The 18,638-nt window shown below is 47.2% G+C and overlaps 1 protein-coding gene across 1 annotated transcript; it reads left to right on the top strand.

The window, feature by feature from the left end:
• PNMA6F (PNMA family member 6F) lies at positions 11,171 to 15,258 on the top strand. The gene is made up of 2 exons (NM_001354980.2): positions 11,171 to 11,386; positions 12,181 to 15,258. Exon 2 carries the CDS (start codon positions 12,264 to 12,266, stop codon positions 13,998 to 14,000), a length of 1,737 nt encoding a protein of 578 aa, NP_001341909.1. The 5' UTR covers positions 11,171 to 11,386; positions 12,181 to 12,263; the 3' UTR covers positions 14,001 to 15,258.
• Positions 15,259 to 18,638: the final 3,380 nt, after the last annotated feature.

Below are 18,638 nucleotides of genomic sequence, written 5' to 3'. Positions count from 1 at the left end.
AACATAGTACACAATAGTTAGTTTTTAAACCCTTGACCCCTCCTTCCCTGACCCCTCTTGTAGTTCCCATTGTTTGTTGTTCCCATCTTTATGCGCACGAGTACCCGATGTTTAGCTCCCACTTATAAATGAGAATGTGTGGCATTTGGTTTTATGTTCCTGCATTAATTCACTTAGGATAACAGCCTCTAGCTGCATCCATGTTGCTGCAAAGGACATGATTTCATTCTTTTTTTATGGCTGCATAGCATTCTGTGGTGAATGCCTACCACATTTTCTTTATCCAATCCACCACTGATGATCACCTAGGTTGATTCCACGTCTTTGCTATTGTGAATAGTGCTGTGATGACCATACAGGTGCATGTGTCTTGGTGGTAGAATGATTTATTTTCCTTTGAGTATATACCCAGTACTGGGATTGCTGGGTCAAATGGTAGCTCTGTTATAAGTTGTTTGAGAAATCTCCAAACTGCTTTCCACAGTGGCTGAAATAATTTACATTCCCATCAGCAGTGTATAAGTATCCCCTTTTCTCCACAGTCTCTCCAGCATCTCTTATTTTTTGACTTTTAAATAATGGCCATTCTCACTGGAGTGAGATAGTGTCCCATTGTGGTTTTGATTTGCATTTCTCTGATGATTAGTGATGAGAGCATTTTTTTCATATGTTTTTTGGCCACTTGTATGTCTTCTTTTGAGAAGTGTCTGTTCACGTCTTTTGCCCATTTTTTGATGGGGTTATATTCTGGATATTAGACCTTTGTCAGGTGATTTTCTCCCATTCTGTAGGTTGTCTGTTTACACTGAGATATATTTGACAGACAATAAACTGTGAATTTGTCATGTTTCAGCTAAACAACTTGATAAGCTTTCACACACACACACACACACACACACACACACACACACGTATGAAACCATCACCACAATCAAGGCAATAAGGATTTCCATCACCTTCAAAGTTTCCTCATGCCCATGACTATCCCTTTCTCTTCTCCTCTCCTGTCCCCAGGCAACCAATGATCTGCTTTCTGTCACTATAGGGTATTTTCTAGAATTTTATATAATAAAATGTTATAATAAGTCTTCTTTTGTGTTTGGTTCCTTTCACTCAACAAAATTATTTGGAAATTGTCTTAGTCCATTTGCACTGCCATGAAAAAATGCCTGAGACTGGATGTTGTGGTTTGAATGTATCCCTTCCAAAATTCAGGTGTTGCCAATGTGATATTATTAAGAGGTGAGGCATTGTCATTGTCTACTTTATATAGTATTAAATGGACAGAAGGAAGAAGAGGGAGAGACCCAGATCTATTAAAAGGTGATTAGACCAGAGGGCTACTCCCTCGGAATGGAATTAAGGCCCTTATAAAAGAGGCTTCATGCAGCATCTGGTTAGCTTGCTGTTTTGCGTCTGCCTTCCACCATATGAGGACATGGTAAGAAGGCCCTCACCACACACCAAACTCTGAGATGATCATTAGCATTTTTAGCAATAAAATATTTTAAAATTAAGATGAGTACATTTTTTTTCAGACATAATACTACTGTACACTTAACAGGCTATAGCTTTTGTATGCACTGGGAAACCAAAAAATTTGGGTAACTGGCTTATTGTGATATATGCTTTATTGCCCTGGTCTGGAACAGAAGGCATACTATCTCAGAGGTATGCCTGTATCTATTTCTTTTTGACTGAGCTTTGCTATTTGTATCTTTCAAGAAATTTGCCCATTTCATGTAAGTAGCCAAATTTATTAATATAAAATTGTACACAATGTTCTATTATTATCTGCAGTGATAACACCACCCTGATTCCTGATATTGGTAATCTGTGTGTTTTATTTGTTTCTTAATCTGTGTTTCTCTTCTTTCTTCTGTCCATTTAATACCATATAAAGTAGACAATGACAATCATTTTTATATTAACCATTCTTTGTTTGGGGCATTGCCTATCCCATGAAGTAGAGTTTGCCTCCCACTCTAGATCTCAAAGATGGTTAGTATTCACTCTCCCAGCTTCTCTTGTAGCTACAGCATGGGCACCTAACTCAGGCTCCACCAATCATATGAACCTACTATCCACTGAGTCTGAGGCCCGAGGTGGGAAGAAGCAGGGTCCCCACAGATTTCACTCAGGCTGGGCTGCTGGTGGCAGGCGTCGTGCCACCCATTCCCTGAGAAGCACTGGTAGCCGTGGTTCTCTTGGCAGCATCCCGAGTCTTGCAATGTCTGCCCAGTCATTGGTGGGAGCCACAGGGGAGCCTGAACTGCTGAGCACTGCGGTGAGATTTGTAATCTTGTTCCTCTCTGCAAAGGTGAGTTTCTTGCTTGTCTGCATGTGAGTGTGGGCCACAGAGGATGCTGTGCTGGGTGGCTAAAACTCAGAGACCCAGAGAGCAGATTTTAGGGTGGCCATGGCAGAGGGAAAGCAGGAGGGGCAATACCTGGGAGTAGAGAAGCACCGTGTTGAGGAGCTCCATGTTTGGCCTGTACACTCTGCCCAAATCTCTGGTTGACCCTGGAGCCATGCAAGCACAGGGCTGAGTCCAAGAAAAGAACTGAGCAGAGGTTTCAGCTGATGCCCAATACCAAAGAAACGGAGTCTGGAGATTGCAGTTGGTACCCAATACAGAGGAGACTTCATGTGAGTTTAGCTAGTTTAGTTGTCTACTAAGACAACAAACCACCACCACCACCACCACCACCACCACAACAACAATAACAAACAATGACTCATCTTCGGAGAAATATAACAGAAACCAAGAAGCCAAATCTACTAGAATTCATTATGGACAGTGTCTAGGATATAATGCTAGATTACTACAAGAAACAAGAATTGTCCTGATACTCAAGGAAAAAAGCATCCAAGGGAAACTCACCCTGGGCTGACCATAGTCGAGAACATAAAGCATGCTCATAATGATTTTTATATTGATATATGTGCTTCTTCATTAACAAGTAAAACAGCAGTACTTAAAGGTTCTTTACCAATGCCATAAATTGATGAAATGTTATTTCCAGCAAATGTGTCTAGCTATTGGCAATAACTGTAATGTGATATGAAAATATTTATTTCTGTTGGTGACAAAGTCACATGTATTGCCGATACTGTTGTGGTTTGTTGCCTACATTCATAATTGAAGGAAACACTAAAGTTTAGTTATTTTAGTAAAAATAAGGATGCATTTTTCCCCATCTGATTCGTAGATCCTTTGAGATCTTAACACCAGGTTAAGGTCTTAAGACCATAGATATTGATTTCTCCCTGATAGTACCAAAAAACATGCCTGGCACATAGTAGATGCTTCATAAATATTTCTCAAATAAATGAATGCATCTGTGTTACAATCTAGTGATTGAGGGGTTAAAATTAATTCTCTAGTTTTTCATATCCATTAAAACAATAAATTGATAACAAAGGCTATTATTTGATGATTGTTTGCTATGTGCCAGACATTGTTTTATAAATATTATCTCATCTAATTCTTACAATAGTCCTGAGGCAGGTCCTATTATTACTTCTGTTTCATGGTTATGGAAATTGAGCCAAACAGTGTTTAAGTAGTTTGTTCAATGCCACATGGCTGGCCTGAGTCCACAGCCTCCGTCCTTAAAGTATAAAGTATAAAGGTAAAACTTGCTCTGAATGTCTCAGGCTTGGCTTCTGGCCCTCAGTTCCAACAAATTCTTTTCCGGTCTCCTTCACTGACTAAGGCTCAGAACAACTCTATTTCACCCACATCCTCTTAGGCTACCTGTGGTGCCATCTGGGGATATCAGCCCCTCACCCAGTGATATGGTTTGGCTGTGTCACCACCCAAATTTTATCTTGAATTGTAGCTCCATAATTCTCACGTGTTGTAGGAGGGACCTGGAGGGAGATAATTAAATCATGGAGGCAGTTTTCCCCATACTGTTCTCATGGTAGTGAATAAGTCCCATGAGATCTGATGTTTTTATAAAGGACTTCCCCTTTTGCTTGATTCTCATTTTCTTTCTTACCTGCTGCCATGTAAGATGTGCCTTTCACCCCCTGCCATGATTGTGAGGCCTCCCGGTCACGTGGAACTGTGAGTCCATCAAACCTCCTTTTCTTTATAAATTACCTCGTCTTGGGTATGTCTTTATCAGCAGCATGAAAACAGACTAATACGCCCAGCTTCACACAACCACCTTAAGGCTAAATGCCATCAGGTTTGGCTCTCTGGGACCAACTTCTGCTTTCTAAATCTCAATGTCCACCTGCTCACTGGACACCTCTCCCTGATGTTCTTCAAGCCATTTGATGATTGTTTGCTACGTTTTTGATATGTACCTCTATCTTTCCTCCTCTATCCTAATGCAAGGTGTACCTTCCCTGTGAGGACTTTCCTGACCCTTTCCAGGTATGACCTGCCCACTTGGTATCCCCCTGTACTCTGTACATACCCTATCACTACCCCCAGTAAATTGTATTACTAAATTTGTTTACATGCCTGCCTCTTCTTACCATTCTGGCAGCTTCTTAAGAACAGAGACTATTTCTAATTTGTCTCTAAATTTCTAGGACTTAGAATAATGCCTGACACAGTAGGTGCACTGTAAATGCTTGTTGAATGGGTGGATCTATGAATAAATTAATGAATGAATTATATACACCAACCTACTTATCACTTTGGCTGATGTGTTTATTATGATTTACACAAAACCAATTGTGTAGTGTAGAAATGTAAATGTTATGTGTAATATGTAAAAGGTAAAAGTGTAAAAATGTAAAATATATACAAACATGGCCCAAGAGAATAACAATGAAGTTTTAAATAGGAAATTTTAGTAGAGAAAAAGAAACTATTGAAAAGAACCAATTGGGGGAGTGGCCAAGATGGCTGACTAGAAGCAGGTAGTATGGGTGGCTCTCACAGAGAGGAACAGAAGGGGTGAGTAAATACACCACCTTCAACTGAAACATCCAGGTACTTGCATTGGGATTAATCAAGGAAACAACTTGACCCACAGAGAACAAAGAAAAGCAAAATAGAACAATGGCCCACCTGGGAGCAATACAGAGCCAGGGGATCCTCCCCTACCCAGGAAAGTGGTTAGTGAATGAGCGACTCTAGGAAACCACGCTTCTCCCACAGATCTTTGCAACCCTCGGGTCAGCAGATCTCCTTGTGAACCCACTCCACCAGGGCCTTTCAGTTTTCAGTCTGACAGACAGAGCCATGGCTCTTGGCAGAGCAGCTGCTCAGGCATGTGTGGAGAACCTGGAACCTTAGATACTTGGGCTTTCCGGCAAAAGTAGTTGCAGCTTCAGCAAAGTGGAAGGTTAGACTCCTGTACATACCCCTAGGAAAGAGGCTGAATCTAGGGGGCTGAGCAGCAACAGCCTGTAGCCCCCACTTCCACAGCACCTCACAAGATAAAACCCACTGGCTTGAAATTCCAGGAGTTGGTTTTTTGAAAAAATTAATAAAATAGGCCACCAGCTAGATGAATTAAGAAGAAGAGAGAAGATCCAAATAAACACAATTAGAAATGATTAAGGGAATGTTACTACTGACCCCACAAAACTAAGAACAACCATCAGAAACTACTCCAAAGACCTCTATGCACACAAATTAGAAAACCTGGAAGAGATGGATAAATTTCTGGACCCATACATCCACCCAAAACTGAGCCAGGAAGAAACTGATTCCCTGAACAGATCAATAACAAGCTTTGAAATTGAATCACTAATAAATAGCCTGCCAACCAAAAAAGGCCTAGGACTTGCTAGATTCACAGACAAATTGTACCAGATGTACAAAGACAATCCGTTACCATTCCTACAGAAATTATTCCAAAAAATTAAGGATGAGGGGCTTCTCCCCAACTCATTCTATGAGGCCAGCATAATCTTGATACCAAAATCTGGCAGAGACACAACAAAAAAAGAAAACTTCAGGCCGGTATCCTTGATGAACATCAATGCAAAAATCCTCAACAGAATACTTGCAAACCAAATCCAGCAGCACATCAAAAATCTAATCCACCATGATCAAGTAGGCTTCATCCCTAGGATGCAAGTTTGGCTCAACATATGAAAACCAATAAACGTGATTCATCACATAAACAGAACTAAAGACAAAAACCACATGGTTATCTCAATAAATGCAGAAAAGACTTTTGATAAAATTCGACATCACTTCATGTTAAAAACTCTCAATAAACTAGATATTGAAGGAACATAACTCAAAATAATAAGAACCACAGCCAACATTATACTGAATGGGCAAAAGCTGGAAGCATTCCTCCCTTGAAAACCAGCACAAGACAAGCATACATTTTTTCACCACTTGTATTCAACATAGTATTGGAAGTCCTAGCCAGAGCAATCAGGCAATAGAAAGAAATAAAGGGCATCCAAATAGGAAGAGAGAAAGTCACCCTATCTCTATCTGCGGACAGCATGATTCTATATCTAGAAAACCCCATGGTCTTGGCCCCAAAGCTCCTTCAGCTGATAAAAAAATTGAGCAAAGTTGCAGGATACAAAATCAATGCACAAAAATCAGAAGCATTCCTATACACCAACAACAACCAAACTGAGAGCCAAATCAGAAAGGCAATCCCATTCACAGTTGCCACAAAAATATAAAATACCTAGGAATACAGCTAACCAGGAAGGTGAAAGAGCTCTACAATGAGAATTACAAAACACTGGTCAAATAAATTAGAGAAGACAAAAACAAATGGAAAAACATTCCATGCTCATGTATAGGAATAATCAATATCATTAAAATGGCTATACTGCCCAAAGCAATTTACAGATTCAATGCTATTCCTATCAAACTATCAATGACATTCGTCACAGAACTAGAAATTATTTTAAAATTTATATGGAACCAAAATAGAGTATGAATGGCTAAGACAATCCTAAGCAAAAAGAACAAAGCTGGATGGATCACATTACCTGACTTCAAACTATACTACAAGGCTACAGTGACTAAAACAGCATGGTACTGGTACAAAAACAGGCACATAGACAAATGGAACAGAATAGAGAGCCCAGAAATAAGTCTGCACACCTACGATCATCTGATCTTTGACAAAGCTGACAAAAACAAACAATGGGGAAAAGACTCCCTATTCAGTAAATGGTGCTAAGACAACTGGCTAGCCATATGCAGAAGATTGAAGCTGGACCCCTTGCTTACACTGTGTGCAAAAATCAACTCAATATGAATTAAAGACTTAAATCTAAAACCCCATACTATAAAAACCCTGGAAGACAACTTAGGCAATTACCATCCTGGACATAGAGACAGACAAAGATTTCATGACAAAGAAACCAAAATGAATCTAAACAAAAACAAAAATTGACAAGTGGGATCTAGTTAAACTTAAGAGCTTCTGTACAGCAAAAGAAACTATCAACAGAGTAAACAGATAACCTACAGAATGGAAGAAAATATTTGCAAACTATGCAACTGACAAAGGTCTAATATCCAGAATCTGTAGGGAAATTAAATAAACTTACAAGAGAAAAATAACCCCATTAAAAAGTGGGCAAAAGACATGAACAGACACTTCTCAAAAGAAGACATACATGTGGCCAAAAAGCACATGAAAAAAAGCCCAATATCACTGATCATTAGAGAAATGGAAATGAAAACCACAACAAAATGCCATCTCACATCAGTCAGAATGGCTATTATTAAAAAGTCAAAAAATAGCAGATGCTGGCGAGGTTGTGGAGAAAAGGGAACACTTATACACTGTTGGTGAGAGTGTAAATTAGTTCAACCATTGTGGAAAACAGTATGGAGATTCCTCAAAGAGGTAAAAGCAGAACTACCATTCAACCTAGCAATCTCATTACTGGGTATATACCCAGAGGAATATAAAGCATTCTTCCCTAAAGACACATGCACGTGAATGTTTGCTGCAGCACTATTCACAATAACAAAGATACAGAATCAACCTAAATGCCTATCAATGACAGACTGGATAAATAATATATGGTACATATACATGACAGAATATTATGCAGCCATAAAAAGAACAAGAGCATGTCTTTTGCAGTAACATGGATGAAGCTGGAGGCTATCATCCTTAGCAAACTGACACAGGAACAGAAAACCAAATACTGCATGTTCTCGCTTATAAGTGGGAGCTAAATGATAAGAACTTATGAACACAAAGGAGGAAACAACAGATGCTGGGGTCTACTTGAGGATGGAGGGTGTGTGACGGGAGGGGAAGAGAAAAGATAACTATTACCTGGGTAATGTAATAATATGTACAATAAACCTATATGACATGTGTTTATCTATGCAACAAACCTTCACATGTACCCCTAAGCCTAAAATAAAAATTTAAAAAAGAGAAACAAACCAACTGTAATTCCGGAACTGAAAAACATAAAGTGAAAAATTCAATGGATTGTCTTAATAACAGATTGCAGATGACAGAAGAGTCATGAACTTGAAGCTAGATCAATAGAAATGATCTATTCGGATAAACCAAGAGGAACAATAATAGAAACGAATGGAACCTCAGTGGTCTGTGGGACAATATATAAAGGTCAAATGTGTATTTTGAGTGCCAGGATGGGATAGAGAAAATGGGGAAGGAAAGCTATCTGAAGAAATAATGGCTGAAAAATTCCTCTAGTATCATTTTTCTTAGGAAATCCATTATTTACAAATTTAATGAAACTTGGTGAACCACAAAGAGGATAATTACAAAGGAAAGCAACATCTAGGCACATTGTAGTCAAGCTACTGAAAACAAAGAAGGGCAAGAAAAATCTTGAAAGTAGTCAGAGTAAAATGACTCTACATATGGGAGTGCATTAAGAACTTAATTCTCATCAGAAACAATGGAAGCCTGGAGACAGTGGAGCAACATTTCTAAAACAGTGAAAGAAAAAAAAAACCTTCCAATACAGAACTCTATATCTAGGGAAATAGAACAAATTCAAGAATGAAGGTGAAGTAAATATCTTTTGAGATATAGGAAAGCTAAGAAAATTCATCAACAGAACTGCACTAAAAGAAATACTAAAGGAAGTCTTTCAATCTGAAGAAAAATTAAACTAGAGGAAATCTTTGATCTTTGGGTAGAAATGAAGAACACAGGAAATGGTACATGTGTGGGTAAATATTAATGAATAGTTATTTGCCCTTAATTTCTTTATAATAATATGACTTTAAAGTAAACAGTTTAATAGTATATACTAGGGTTTGGCAACTCATAAAGGATGAGGTGGAATGGAAGTGAATCTATATGATGGAGAGTTTCTTACATTTATGCACAATATTAACTTTAAGTCGACAGTGAAAAGTTAAATATATATATATATATTGTAATCTCTAGAGTGAGCACTACAAAAATGCAAAGAGATATAGCTAAGAAGATAACGGATACATTAAAAGTGAATTACAAAAAATATTTGATTAATCCAGGCAGGAAATGGGGAACATGGGAACAAAAATCAGATGGAGCAAATAGTAAAAGGATAGACCTAAATCCAAATATATCAAACATAACATTCAATGTAAATGGGCTAAACACTCCAATTAAAAGGCAGAGATTGTCAGAATGAATAAAAGAGCAAGACTTTTGCTGTCTCCAAGAAATGCAATTTTAATATACAGACTCAGATGGGTTGATAGTAAGAGGTTGTAAATTATATACCATGCAAGGGGCAAGCATAAGAAAGTGGGAAAGTCTATGTTAATAGCCGACAAAGTGGAGTTCCAAAGAGTATCACCTGAGATAAAGGTAATAATTATATAAGGTTCAATTAATCAGAAACACATAGAACTCATAAACATGTTTGCACCCAATAACAGAGCCTCAAAATATATGAAACAAAAATTGACAGTATAAAGGAACAACTAGGCATTTCCACAATTATAGTTGGAGATTTCATCATCTCTGCCTCAGCAACTGATATAACCACTAGACAAGAAATCAGTAAATATATAAAATATATTTAATATTTAATATAAATCAGTAAATATACAAAACATTCCACCTAAAGAAGCTAGAAAAGGAATAGCAAAGTAAATCTCGAATAAGTAGAAGGAAGGAGATAATAGAGATACAAGAGCAGAAATCAATAAAATAGAAAACAAACTAAAAGTAAGTAAATCACACATATTTTAAAAGAGCAACCAAATGTGTAGCCCTTAGGAAGGCTAATCAAGAAAAAAGAAAATAATCATTAATATCAGCCGTGAAAGAGGGATATCATTAGAGGTTATATAGGCATTAAAAGAATAGTGAGGGAATATTAACTTTATGACAATAATTTTGACAACTTAGATAAAATTGACACATGCATTGGAAACAAAGCAATTTACCAAAACTTCCAATGGATTGAATAGAAAAAACACATAGCCCTATACTTCATAAATATATTTATTAACAAAAAACTTTTCTAAAAATAAAACAAAAATCCATGCCCAGATGATTTCATGGGTGAACTCCAGCAAATATTTAAGGAACAAAAATTGCCAATTTTACACAACAGTTTCAGAAAATAGAGGAGCAGGAAACAATTCTTAACTCAGTTTATGGGGCCAGTACAAACCTAAATCCTGATAAAAAGATGATATAAAACCAGAAAATTACAGAAAAATATCCCTCAAGAACAGTATAGGAAAACTATTTATTAGAAATCCATATCCAGCAATATATAAAAAGGCAAGTGTTTTATTGCCCATTTCCAGATGATGGGCATACATGTTCACTGACAGATATAGGCCACCTAGCTGTTAGGTGAGGCTGCATCTGTCTGATTGAAAGCCCACACGCTTTCCTAGGCAATGGCTGCCCAGGTGGTTGAAGGCCGGCCTCCAGCCGGTAAAGAGCTGGTATGAGGAACACAGCCAGCAATCAATCTATGTTGTAGGGATTCCAGGCCTGAGCAGGGCAGGCTGTGAATACCCTGGGGACCTGGTCTTAGGATCTCCTCCTCGTGACTTCTAGTCCATCCCATCCCAGCAATTTGCCACAATTACTGATGGAGGTCATTTTGATGGTGGAGGGCCAATCGGTGGGCCTGTTGCTCCCAGAGGCTCCAAGCCTTGGAACATTAAGCCCTTACCATGCAGGTCCCGTTGCCAGGGCAACACAGATGTCTCCTCCTGTCTAGCCACTTGTCTTCCACAGAGACTACGAAATTTTTCTTCCTCATCTACCTGGGGCTTCTGGGAGAAGCGGGAAGCCCTGTAGTCTTAGCACAGCGGGCTTTGGAGACCCCTGCGCTGCGCAGCGCGGCCGCGTGACTGAGGCGAGATCTTCCACCCTCCTGCTCCAGGGCCTCTAGGTGGCCTCCAGAGTGGGCTCCACAGCTTGAAGGCGGCGTTTTTCCGCGGGTGGTCGCAGCGTCCGCAGAGTCGGAGAAAGTGAGCAGGCTCCGGCGGGACCCCAGAGTGACCGCGGGCGCCCTGGGCAGGTGCCAGATCGCTGCCTCCGCAGTGGGCGCGAGAGGGGGTCCCGGTCCGGCCCAGGGCCCGCAGAGAGAGGAGGAGGGGGCTCCTGGCTGCAGGAGTCTGGTGGGGCGGGGGTGGGGGGTAGGGTGGGCTGCCGTTGCAGAGGTGCAGGGGACGGTGGGAGAGAGGGGGGCTCTGGCTTTCGGGGGAGGAAGGGGACTTCTGGCTGCAGGTGTGGGGGGCGCGGAGGGGGGTTGCCAGGTTACACGGAAGATCAAAAGAGGAAGATCAAAAGAGGGAGGGGGCTCCTGGTTTGGCGCTGGAAAAGAGACGGGGGAGGTCTCTCTGCTTCCCTTCTGCAGTTTGGGTAAGGAAGAACTCCAGGCTGCAAAGATCTGTGTAGGGGAAGACTACTGGCCGCAGGGATTCTGGGTGGGGGAAGAGCTACCTGTTGCAGGGGCTTGGATAGGGGAGGACTCCTGGCTGCAATGTTACAGATGATGGTGGGAGGGGGAGGTGCACTTGTTGTGGTGTGATAAGGGGACATCAGCTCAGGCAAAAGGGGATCTCCCAATAGAGGTGGTGGGTGTGTGCCAAGGGATTAAGTGTCACCAACTGGGGGAGGGCTTTGGGGGTGCATGGGCTGCAGCAGTGGGAGGGAATGGATCCCTGGCTGCTGCAGTGCTTGGGAGGGGAGGGCAAAGGCCTGTAGTGGGGGTGGGTTGATTGGCAGCAACGTCGTCCCTCTCTCCCCTTTGCACTCACAGGCTGCGTCAGAGACTGCAACAGTCAGCACACATTCCTGTCTGATCAGGCTCCCTCCCTCAAGTCCTCTGCGATAGCTCTGGCGATGCTTCAGGACTGGTGCAGGAGGATGGGTGTGAACGCAGAGCGCTCTCTGCTCATCCTGGATATCCCTGACGACTGCGAGGAACATGAGTTCCAGGAGGCCGTGCGGGCTGCCCTGTCGCCCCTGGGCAGGTACCGAGTGCTCATCAAGGTCTTCAGAAAGGAGCTCGGGGCCAGGGCAGCCTTGGTGGAATTCGCTGAGGGTTTAAACCAAAGCTTGATTCCCCGCCAAATAGCAGGCAAAGGGGGACCCTGGAAAGTGATCTCCCTGCCCCAGGCCCTTGATGCTGAGTTTCAGGATATACCCAGTTTCCCTGCACAGCCCCAGGGGCAAGCAGTGGCCAGAGGTGCAGGTGAAGCAGGAGCTGCAGGTGAGGCAGGATCTGTAGGTGAGGCAGGAGGTGTGAATGAGGAAAGATCTGCAGGTGAAGATGAGGCAGGAGGTATAGGTGAGGCAGGAGGTGTAGGTGAGGCAGGAGCAGCAGGTGAGGCAGGAGCAGCAGGTGAGGCAGGAGCAGCAGGTGAGGCAGGAGGTGCAGGTGAGGCAGGAGGTGCAGGTGAGGCAGGAGGTGCAGGTGAGGAAGGAGGTACAGGTGAGGAAGGAGGTGCAGGTGAGGCAGGAGGCGCAGGTGAGGAAGGAGGTGAAGATGAGGCAGGAGCTGCAGGTGAGGCAGTAGGTGCAGGTGTGGTGGAGGCCTGGACCCAGTCATGGCGCCAGACCCTGCGGCCTCTGGTGAAAACTATGGCCTACCGGGAACTGAGACCCTTTTCCGGGAGGGAGCAGCCAGGCTGCGTGGAAGAGTCCTTTGAGAGCTGGTTGGAGGACGCCAAGGATATGCTGCAGCTGTGGTGCCACGCGTCGGAAAGGGAGAGAAGGAGGCGGCTGCTGGACAGCTTGGATGGCCTGGCCCTGGATATCGTGAGCGGCCTCCTGGAGGAAGATCCAGACTTCTCTGCGCAGGACTGCCTGACGGCGCTGGGGCAGGTGTTTAGGAGCCGGGATACATGGATGACCTCGCGGATGAAGTTCCTGACCTGCACGCAGGGGCCCCAGGAGGGGCTGTTTGCCTTCGTGGTGCGCCTGGAAGGCCTGCTGCAGAAGGCCGTGGAGAAGGGGGCGGTCCACCCAGCCATGGCCAACCACCTGCGACTGCGGCAGGTGCTGTCTCGGGCCCGCCCCAGCGAGGCACTCCAGGATACCCTGAGGAGGATGCAGCTGGAGAGGAGGCCACCTGACTTCCTGAGGCTGCTGCGGCTCATCCGGGACATGGAGGCGTGGGCAGCCTCCCTAGCAAGGAGCCAGCAGGGTGTGGCCTGGGCAGCGGCCCCAGTGGAGAGTGAAGACCCAGCTGCTGCCCAGGCCTCCCCGGCCCAGGGGGACGCCAGCGAGGCTGATCCCGGAGCAGAAGATGCTGATGAGGCTGCTTCCACCACCAAAGAGGCCGCCAGGGTTGCCCCTGCCACTGGGGAAGATGAAAATGCCCCTGCAGGCCTTGAAGGCCTAGGTCAGGGAAGGTCCCCCGACGCCCCTGGGGGCCTCCCAGCCAGGATGGGCAGTGCAGTCGACATGGCCCCAGGAGGTCCCAGCTGGGAGCCAGAGGGCCTTGTCCAGGTTGGAGGCCAGGAGGCTGAGGAGCCTCCCCAGGAGGGGCTCAAGCCCATCTTAGAGGAGTCAGAAAACGAGGATGAGGATGGGGCTGGGGAGGCGGGCAAGCCCAAGTCCCCCCCGGGCAAATAGGCTCTGAGGGCCCTGAGGGCTCCTCTCCTCTCAGGCAGCAGCACCCTGGAGGCAGACAGAGGCCAGGCCAGGGCCGGTCCCTCACCCCATGTTGGGAGCTGTGCCTCCCACCTCCCCTAATGGGTCCTGGCCACCACCACCAGCCCTTCCCAGTGACTCAGATGACCACGTTTGATACCAAATGGGGAGCTGGCCTGGAGGGAGCTCTGAGCGGCCAGCCTGAAGATGTCTGCCCCCCACCCCTTGTCCTGTGTTGGGAGAGATGGGGGAAAGAGGCCCTCTCAAGGGTGACAGCTGCCTACATGTCCCAAGAGGTGGCCCCCACTTGCCATCCCTGGGGCAGACTGCCCCCCGTTCCGGGAAGCCCACCCTCACCTCTGTAGGCCCCATAGTGACCCACGCGTCCGAACAGCAGACGCCCACTCACCCACCGCTAGCCATTGTTCCTACACAAAGTTGTATGCTGTGCGCCCATCGGTGCGGCTGCCTCTGGGCCTGGGGCACATGCTGTGAGCTTCCTGCTAGCCCAGGCTCTGCTAGCTGCTACCTGTCCCTTGTCGTGAGCACCACCTCTGCTTTCCTGGTGTAGATCTAGGCCAGGGGCTGCTTGTTCTCGTGGAGCTGTGTGTGTTCTTCTCTGAGCAGCTCCTCCCCGGAGGCCCCCAGCACAGTCCTGGGAGATGGTGGAAGGAGGCGCCAGGGCACGATGGACGCTCATCCTGTGACTGCTATGGTGAGCATGACCACGATGGTGCCCGTGACCATGATGGTGACCATGACTGTGTGAGGAAGAACCGGACCTGGGACAGAGCAGAGCTGCCCTGCCTGAGGCTCCCCGGGGAGCTTTGTGCTTTGGTGTTCTATTCCTGTTGTTACTTGTGACTCAGTTTCCTTGACTTGGGGGGGTGTTCCCTGCTGTGTTTTCAGTGTCCTGTGAGGGCTATAGGGCAGGGCCCTGCCCCAGCGGATGGGCTCGGGAGGGGGCTCCCTGAAGCCAGTGGACACTGCCAGAGTCCACCATCCTGGCAAGAGGCGGACCCTGGGGCCCTCAGGAAGGAGGGAGTTGGCAGCGGGGGCTGCAGCAGGAGTAGGAGCAGATGAGGCGTCTTGCCAGGAACCCCAGGAGGAGGGGGCCCGGGACCTGTGTGGGACCTGTGTCCTGTGGTGGCAATTTGCAGTTTCTCTCTGTGTTGTGATTCCCTTCTCTTCAATGGTTTCAGTACATGTTTCTCTTCAATAAACTTCATTCAGTGTTCCAGCCGGCCTCGCCTCTGCTCTGGGAGACTGGGGATGAGGTTTGCTGGGCATGGGGTTGGGTGGGGTGAGGGCCACAGTGGCCAGGCTGACACTGGGGTGTGTGCAGGGCAGGGTCCCTGAAGGCCTGTGGGGTTCTTTGGGCTGCATGGAGCCTGGCGACAGGATGTTGGTTTTCATGGGCAGTGGCTGATTGAATCCCCAGGGCAGCAATCCTCCTTGAGCACTGTGGCCAGAGGCGCAGTTCTTGATGGGGGCCTGAGGATCCTGGAACCCGCCCTCCTGAGCCCTCCTGGGACTGGCTCTCTCTCCCAACAGGCCAGGGAGCTCGCTACAAATGGAGGGTAGTCCTCGATCAGCCATTTAACTAACGCAGAGTCTGTGGGCGACAGAACTGGGACAAGTGATAGGCCCCTCCCTGCACATGTGTGGGGAGGGGACGGGATCATTGACTTGGACGTGGCGAGGGTCTCCCGGGGCTCACTCAGTCTGTGTCCACACACTTCCTCCGGCTGTTCTGGAGCACAGAGCCTCCGGCCATCCCCATGGCTCAGATGATAGCCAGGCTCCCCCAAAGCAGCCTCAGAGCCAATGCTGGGAATGGGTGGCTGCCCACCTGGGCTGAGGAATCCTGGATCTAGGCGACCTGTCTGCTTGAGCGGAGCTGCAGTCAGCAGGTCTGCAGGGCGGCAGGGGCCCTGGGAGACACTCGGCATACACAGGCCAGTGCAGGCATGGGAGGGGTAGTTTTGCGGGGCTGTCGGGGAGGGGCAGGGGGCGGCAGGTCTCTGGGGCTGGGCCTGCAGCCTCCTCGGCCTGAAGGTGCTTAACCGGTGTCTCAGGGACCCTTGTAGTGTGTCCCATCGGGGTGCCCTGCAGGCATGCCTGGGGCCCCCACTGTGTTCTGTTCTCCCTGCCTTCTTCAGGCTGGGCACAACCCCAGCATGTCCGTCCCTTGTGTCTCAGCAGGGCCAAGTCAACTGCTCACTTTCCAAGGGCCCCTCCAGATTTTGGGGACAGGGCAAGAGGAGAGGGCATAGAGCTTGGCTGACCTTGCCAGGGCCTGTCAGGGCTCCTTGGTTTTCCCTGTTCAGAGTGGACCTGTGTGTGCCGTGATTCCCGAGCAGGTGTGAGTGTGAGTGAGCGGGTGTGTTTGAGCGTGTGCGTGTGTGTGTCAGTGTGAGCATGTGCATGAGTTTCTGAGAATGTGTGTGAATCCAAGTGACAGCATGTGACTGCATCACTGAGCGTGTGTGAGTGGGAGGGTGTGGGGGAATGAGGCTGTGCCATTGAAGGTGAGCATGCATGTCGCTGAATGTGTGTGACACTGTGAGTGTGTCAGTGTGTGTCAGTGTGTGTGTGAGTTTGTGAGTCATTGTGCGTGCGTGCGCTGACTGCAAATGTGGGTGTGTCAATGAGCAGGCATGAATGCGTCATTCAATGTGTGTTTGTCACTCAATGTGTGTGCGCATGTGAGTGTGTCTGGAACATGAGTGTGTGAGTGAATGTGTGTGTGACTGTGTCAGTGGGCATGTGAGCACACAGGCTGGACAGTTGGGTTGTGAAACCCGGAAGGGATCTAGCCAGGGAGTCTGGAAGGAGGTACCGGGAGAAACCAGTTGCTTCCCCACCAGCCCAGAGCAAGGAGACTTTGTCGGGCCTGAAGGACGGGCCCCCCCGGGGGGCCACCTGTCCCCTTCATCCCAGCCAGGCCCTTGGTGCGTGCCAGCTGGCAGAGCTCCTACCATGCATTGTGTTTTGCTGCACAGTCCTCAACAAGTGCCCCTGAGGAGGGCGGCATGTGTGGCCTGGGGACAGAAAGGTCCATCAAGGTGCCTTCCTGGGTGCCCAAGGGCTGACCAAGCCCATCCAATAAGCAGCAGCCTCCTGGGCTCACAGAGGGCTTGAGCGGTGGATGAGGGAGCTGGATCAGAGCCCAATCATGGGGGTGAGGCTGAGCAGAGAGGACTCAGAGAAGTCCCGTCCTCAGGACTGTCCCGGAGTAGACAAGACTGAGAGGGGTCCCATCCTAAGGCCTGTCCCCTCAGCAGGGAGGACTGAGAGAGGTCCCGTCACCAGGCCTGTGCCTGATCAAAGTGGTCTGAGAGAGGTCTTGTTCTCAGGTCTTTCCCTCGAGCAGAGAGGAGTGAGAGAGGTCCTGTCCACAGGTATACCTCTGAGAAAATGAACTGAGACGGGTGCCATCATAAGACCTGTTCCTTAACGAGAGAGGACTGAGTTGGGTCTCTTGAGCAGACAGGCCTCTCTCCAAACCCTGAGCGGTGGGAACTGGGAAAGGTGCTGTCCTCAGCTCTGTCCCTGATCATAGAGAAATGGCAGAGGTCTCATTTTCAGGCCTGTTCCATGAGCAAAGAGGACTGAAAGAGGTCCCATACTCAGGTGTCCCCTGTGCAGAACAACAGAAATGTCTGACAGAGTACAACCCGCAGGTCTCTTTCTGATCAGAGAGGACTGAGAGAGGTCCCATCTTCTAGTCTGTCCCCTGAGCAAACAAAACTGAGAGGTCTCATCCTCAGGCGTCCCCTGAGCAGGAAGACTGAGAGGAGTCCTGTCCTCAGACCCATCCCTGGGCAGAGAGTCATAAGAGAGGTTCTGTCCACAGGCCCATCCTCTGTGTAAGAGGTCAGAGAGGGATCCCATCCTAAGGTCTGTCCCCTTAGCAGAGAAGACTGACAGCGGTCCTGTCCTCAGGCCTGACCCTGAGTAGAAAGCAGTGGGAGAGGTGTCCCCGGGCAGAGAAGACTGAGAGAGATGCTGTCTTCAGGTACCTGAGGCTTAGTGGGCAGAGAGAGGTCCTGTGCTGTGGCCTGTCTTCTGAGCACAGTCGACTGAGAGAGGTCCCATTCCCATATCTATCGTAGAGAAAAGAGGACTTAGAGGGGTCCTGTCCTCAGGCCTGTCCTTTGAGCAGAGAGGACTGAGAGAGGTCCTGTCCTCATATCTATCCCCTAAGAAGATGGACCGACGGGGGTCGCATCTTCAGGCCTGTCCCCTGAGCTGAGGGGGCTGAGAGGGTTCCTCTCCTCACACCTATCCCCTCAGATGATGGACCGACAGAGGTCCCAAACTCAGGTCTGTGTCTAGAGCAGAGAGGACTGAGAGATGTCCTGTCCTCATACGTATCCACTTAGAAGATGGACAGAGAGGGGTCCCATCCTCAGGTCCGTCCCTTGAGCAGAGAGGACTGAGAGAGGTCTGGACCTCACATCAATCCTCTTAGAAGATAAAACGATTCGGGTCACATTCTCAGTCCTGTCCCTTGAGCAGAGAGGACTGAGAGAGGTCCTGTCCTCACATGTATCCCCTTAGAAGATGGACTGACAGCAGTCCCACCCTCAGGCCTGTCCCCTGAGCTGAGGGGAT

The sequence above is a fragment of the Homo sapiens genome, chromosome X, assembly GCF_000001405.40.
Source record: "Homo sapiens chromosome X, GRCh38.p14 Primary Assembly".
NCBI classification, from domain to species: Eukaryota; Metazoa; Chordata; class Mammalia; order Primates; family Hominidae; genus Homo; species Homo sapiens.
This window is presented reverse-complemented; position numbering and strand designations above follow the sequence as displayed.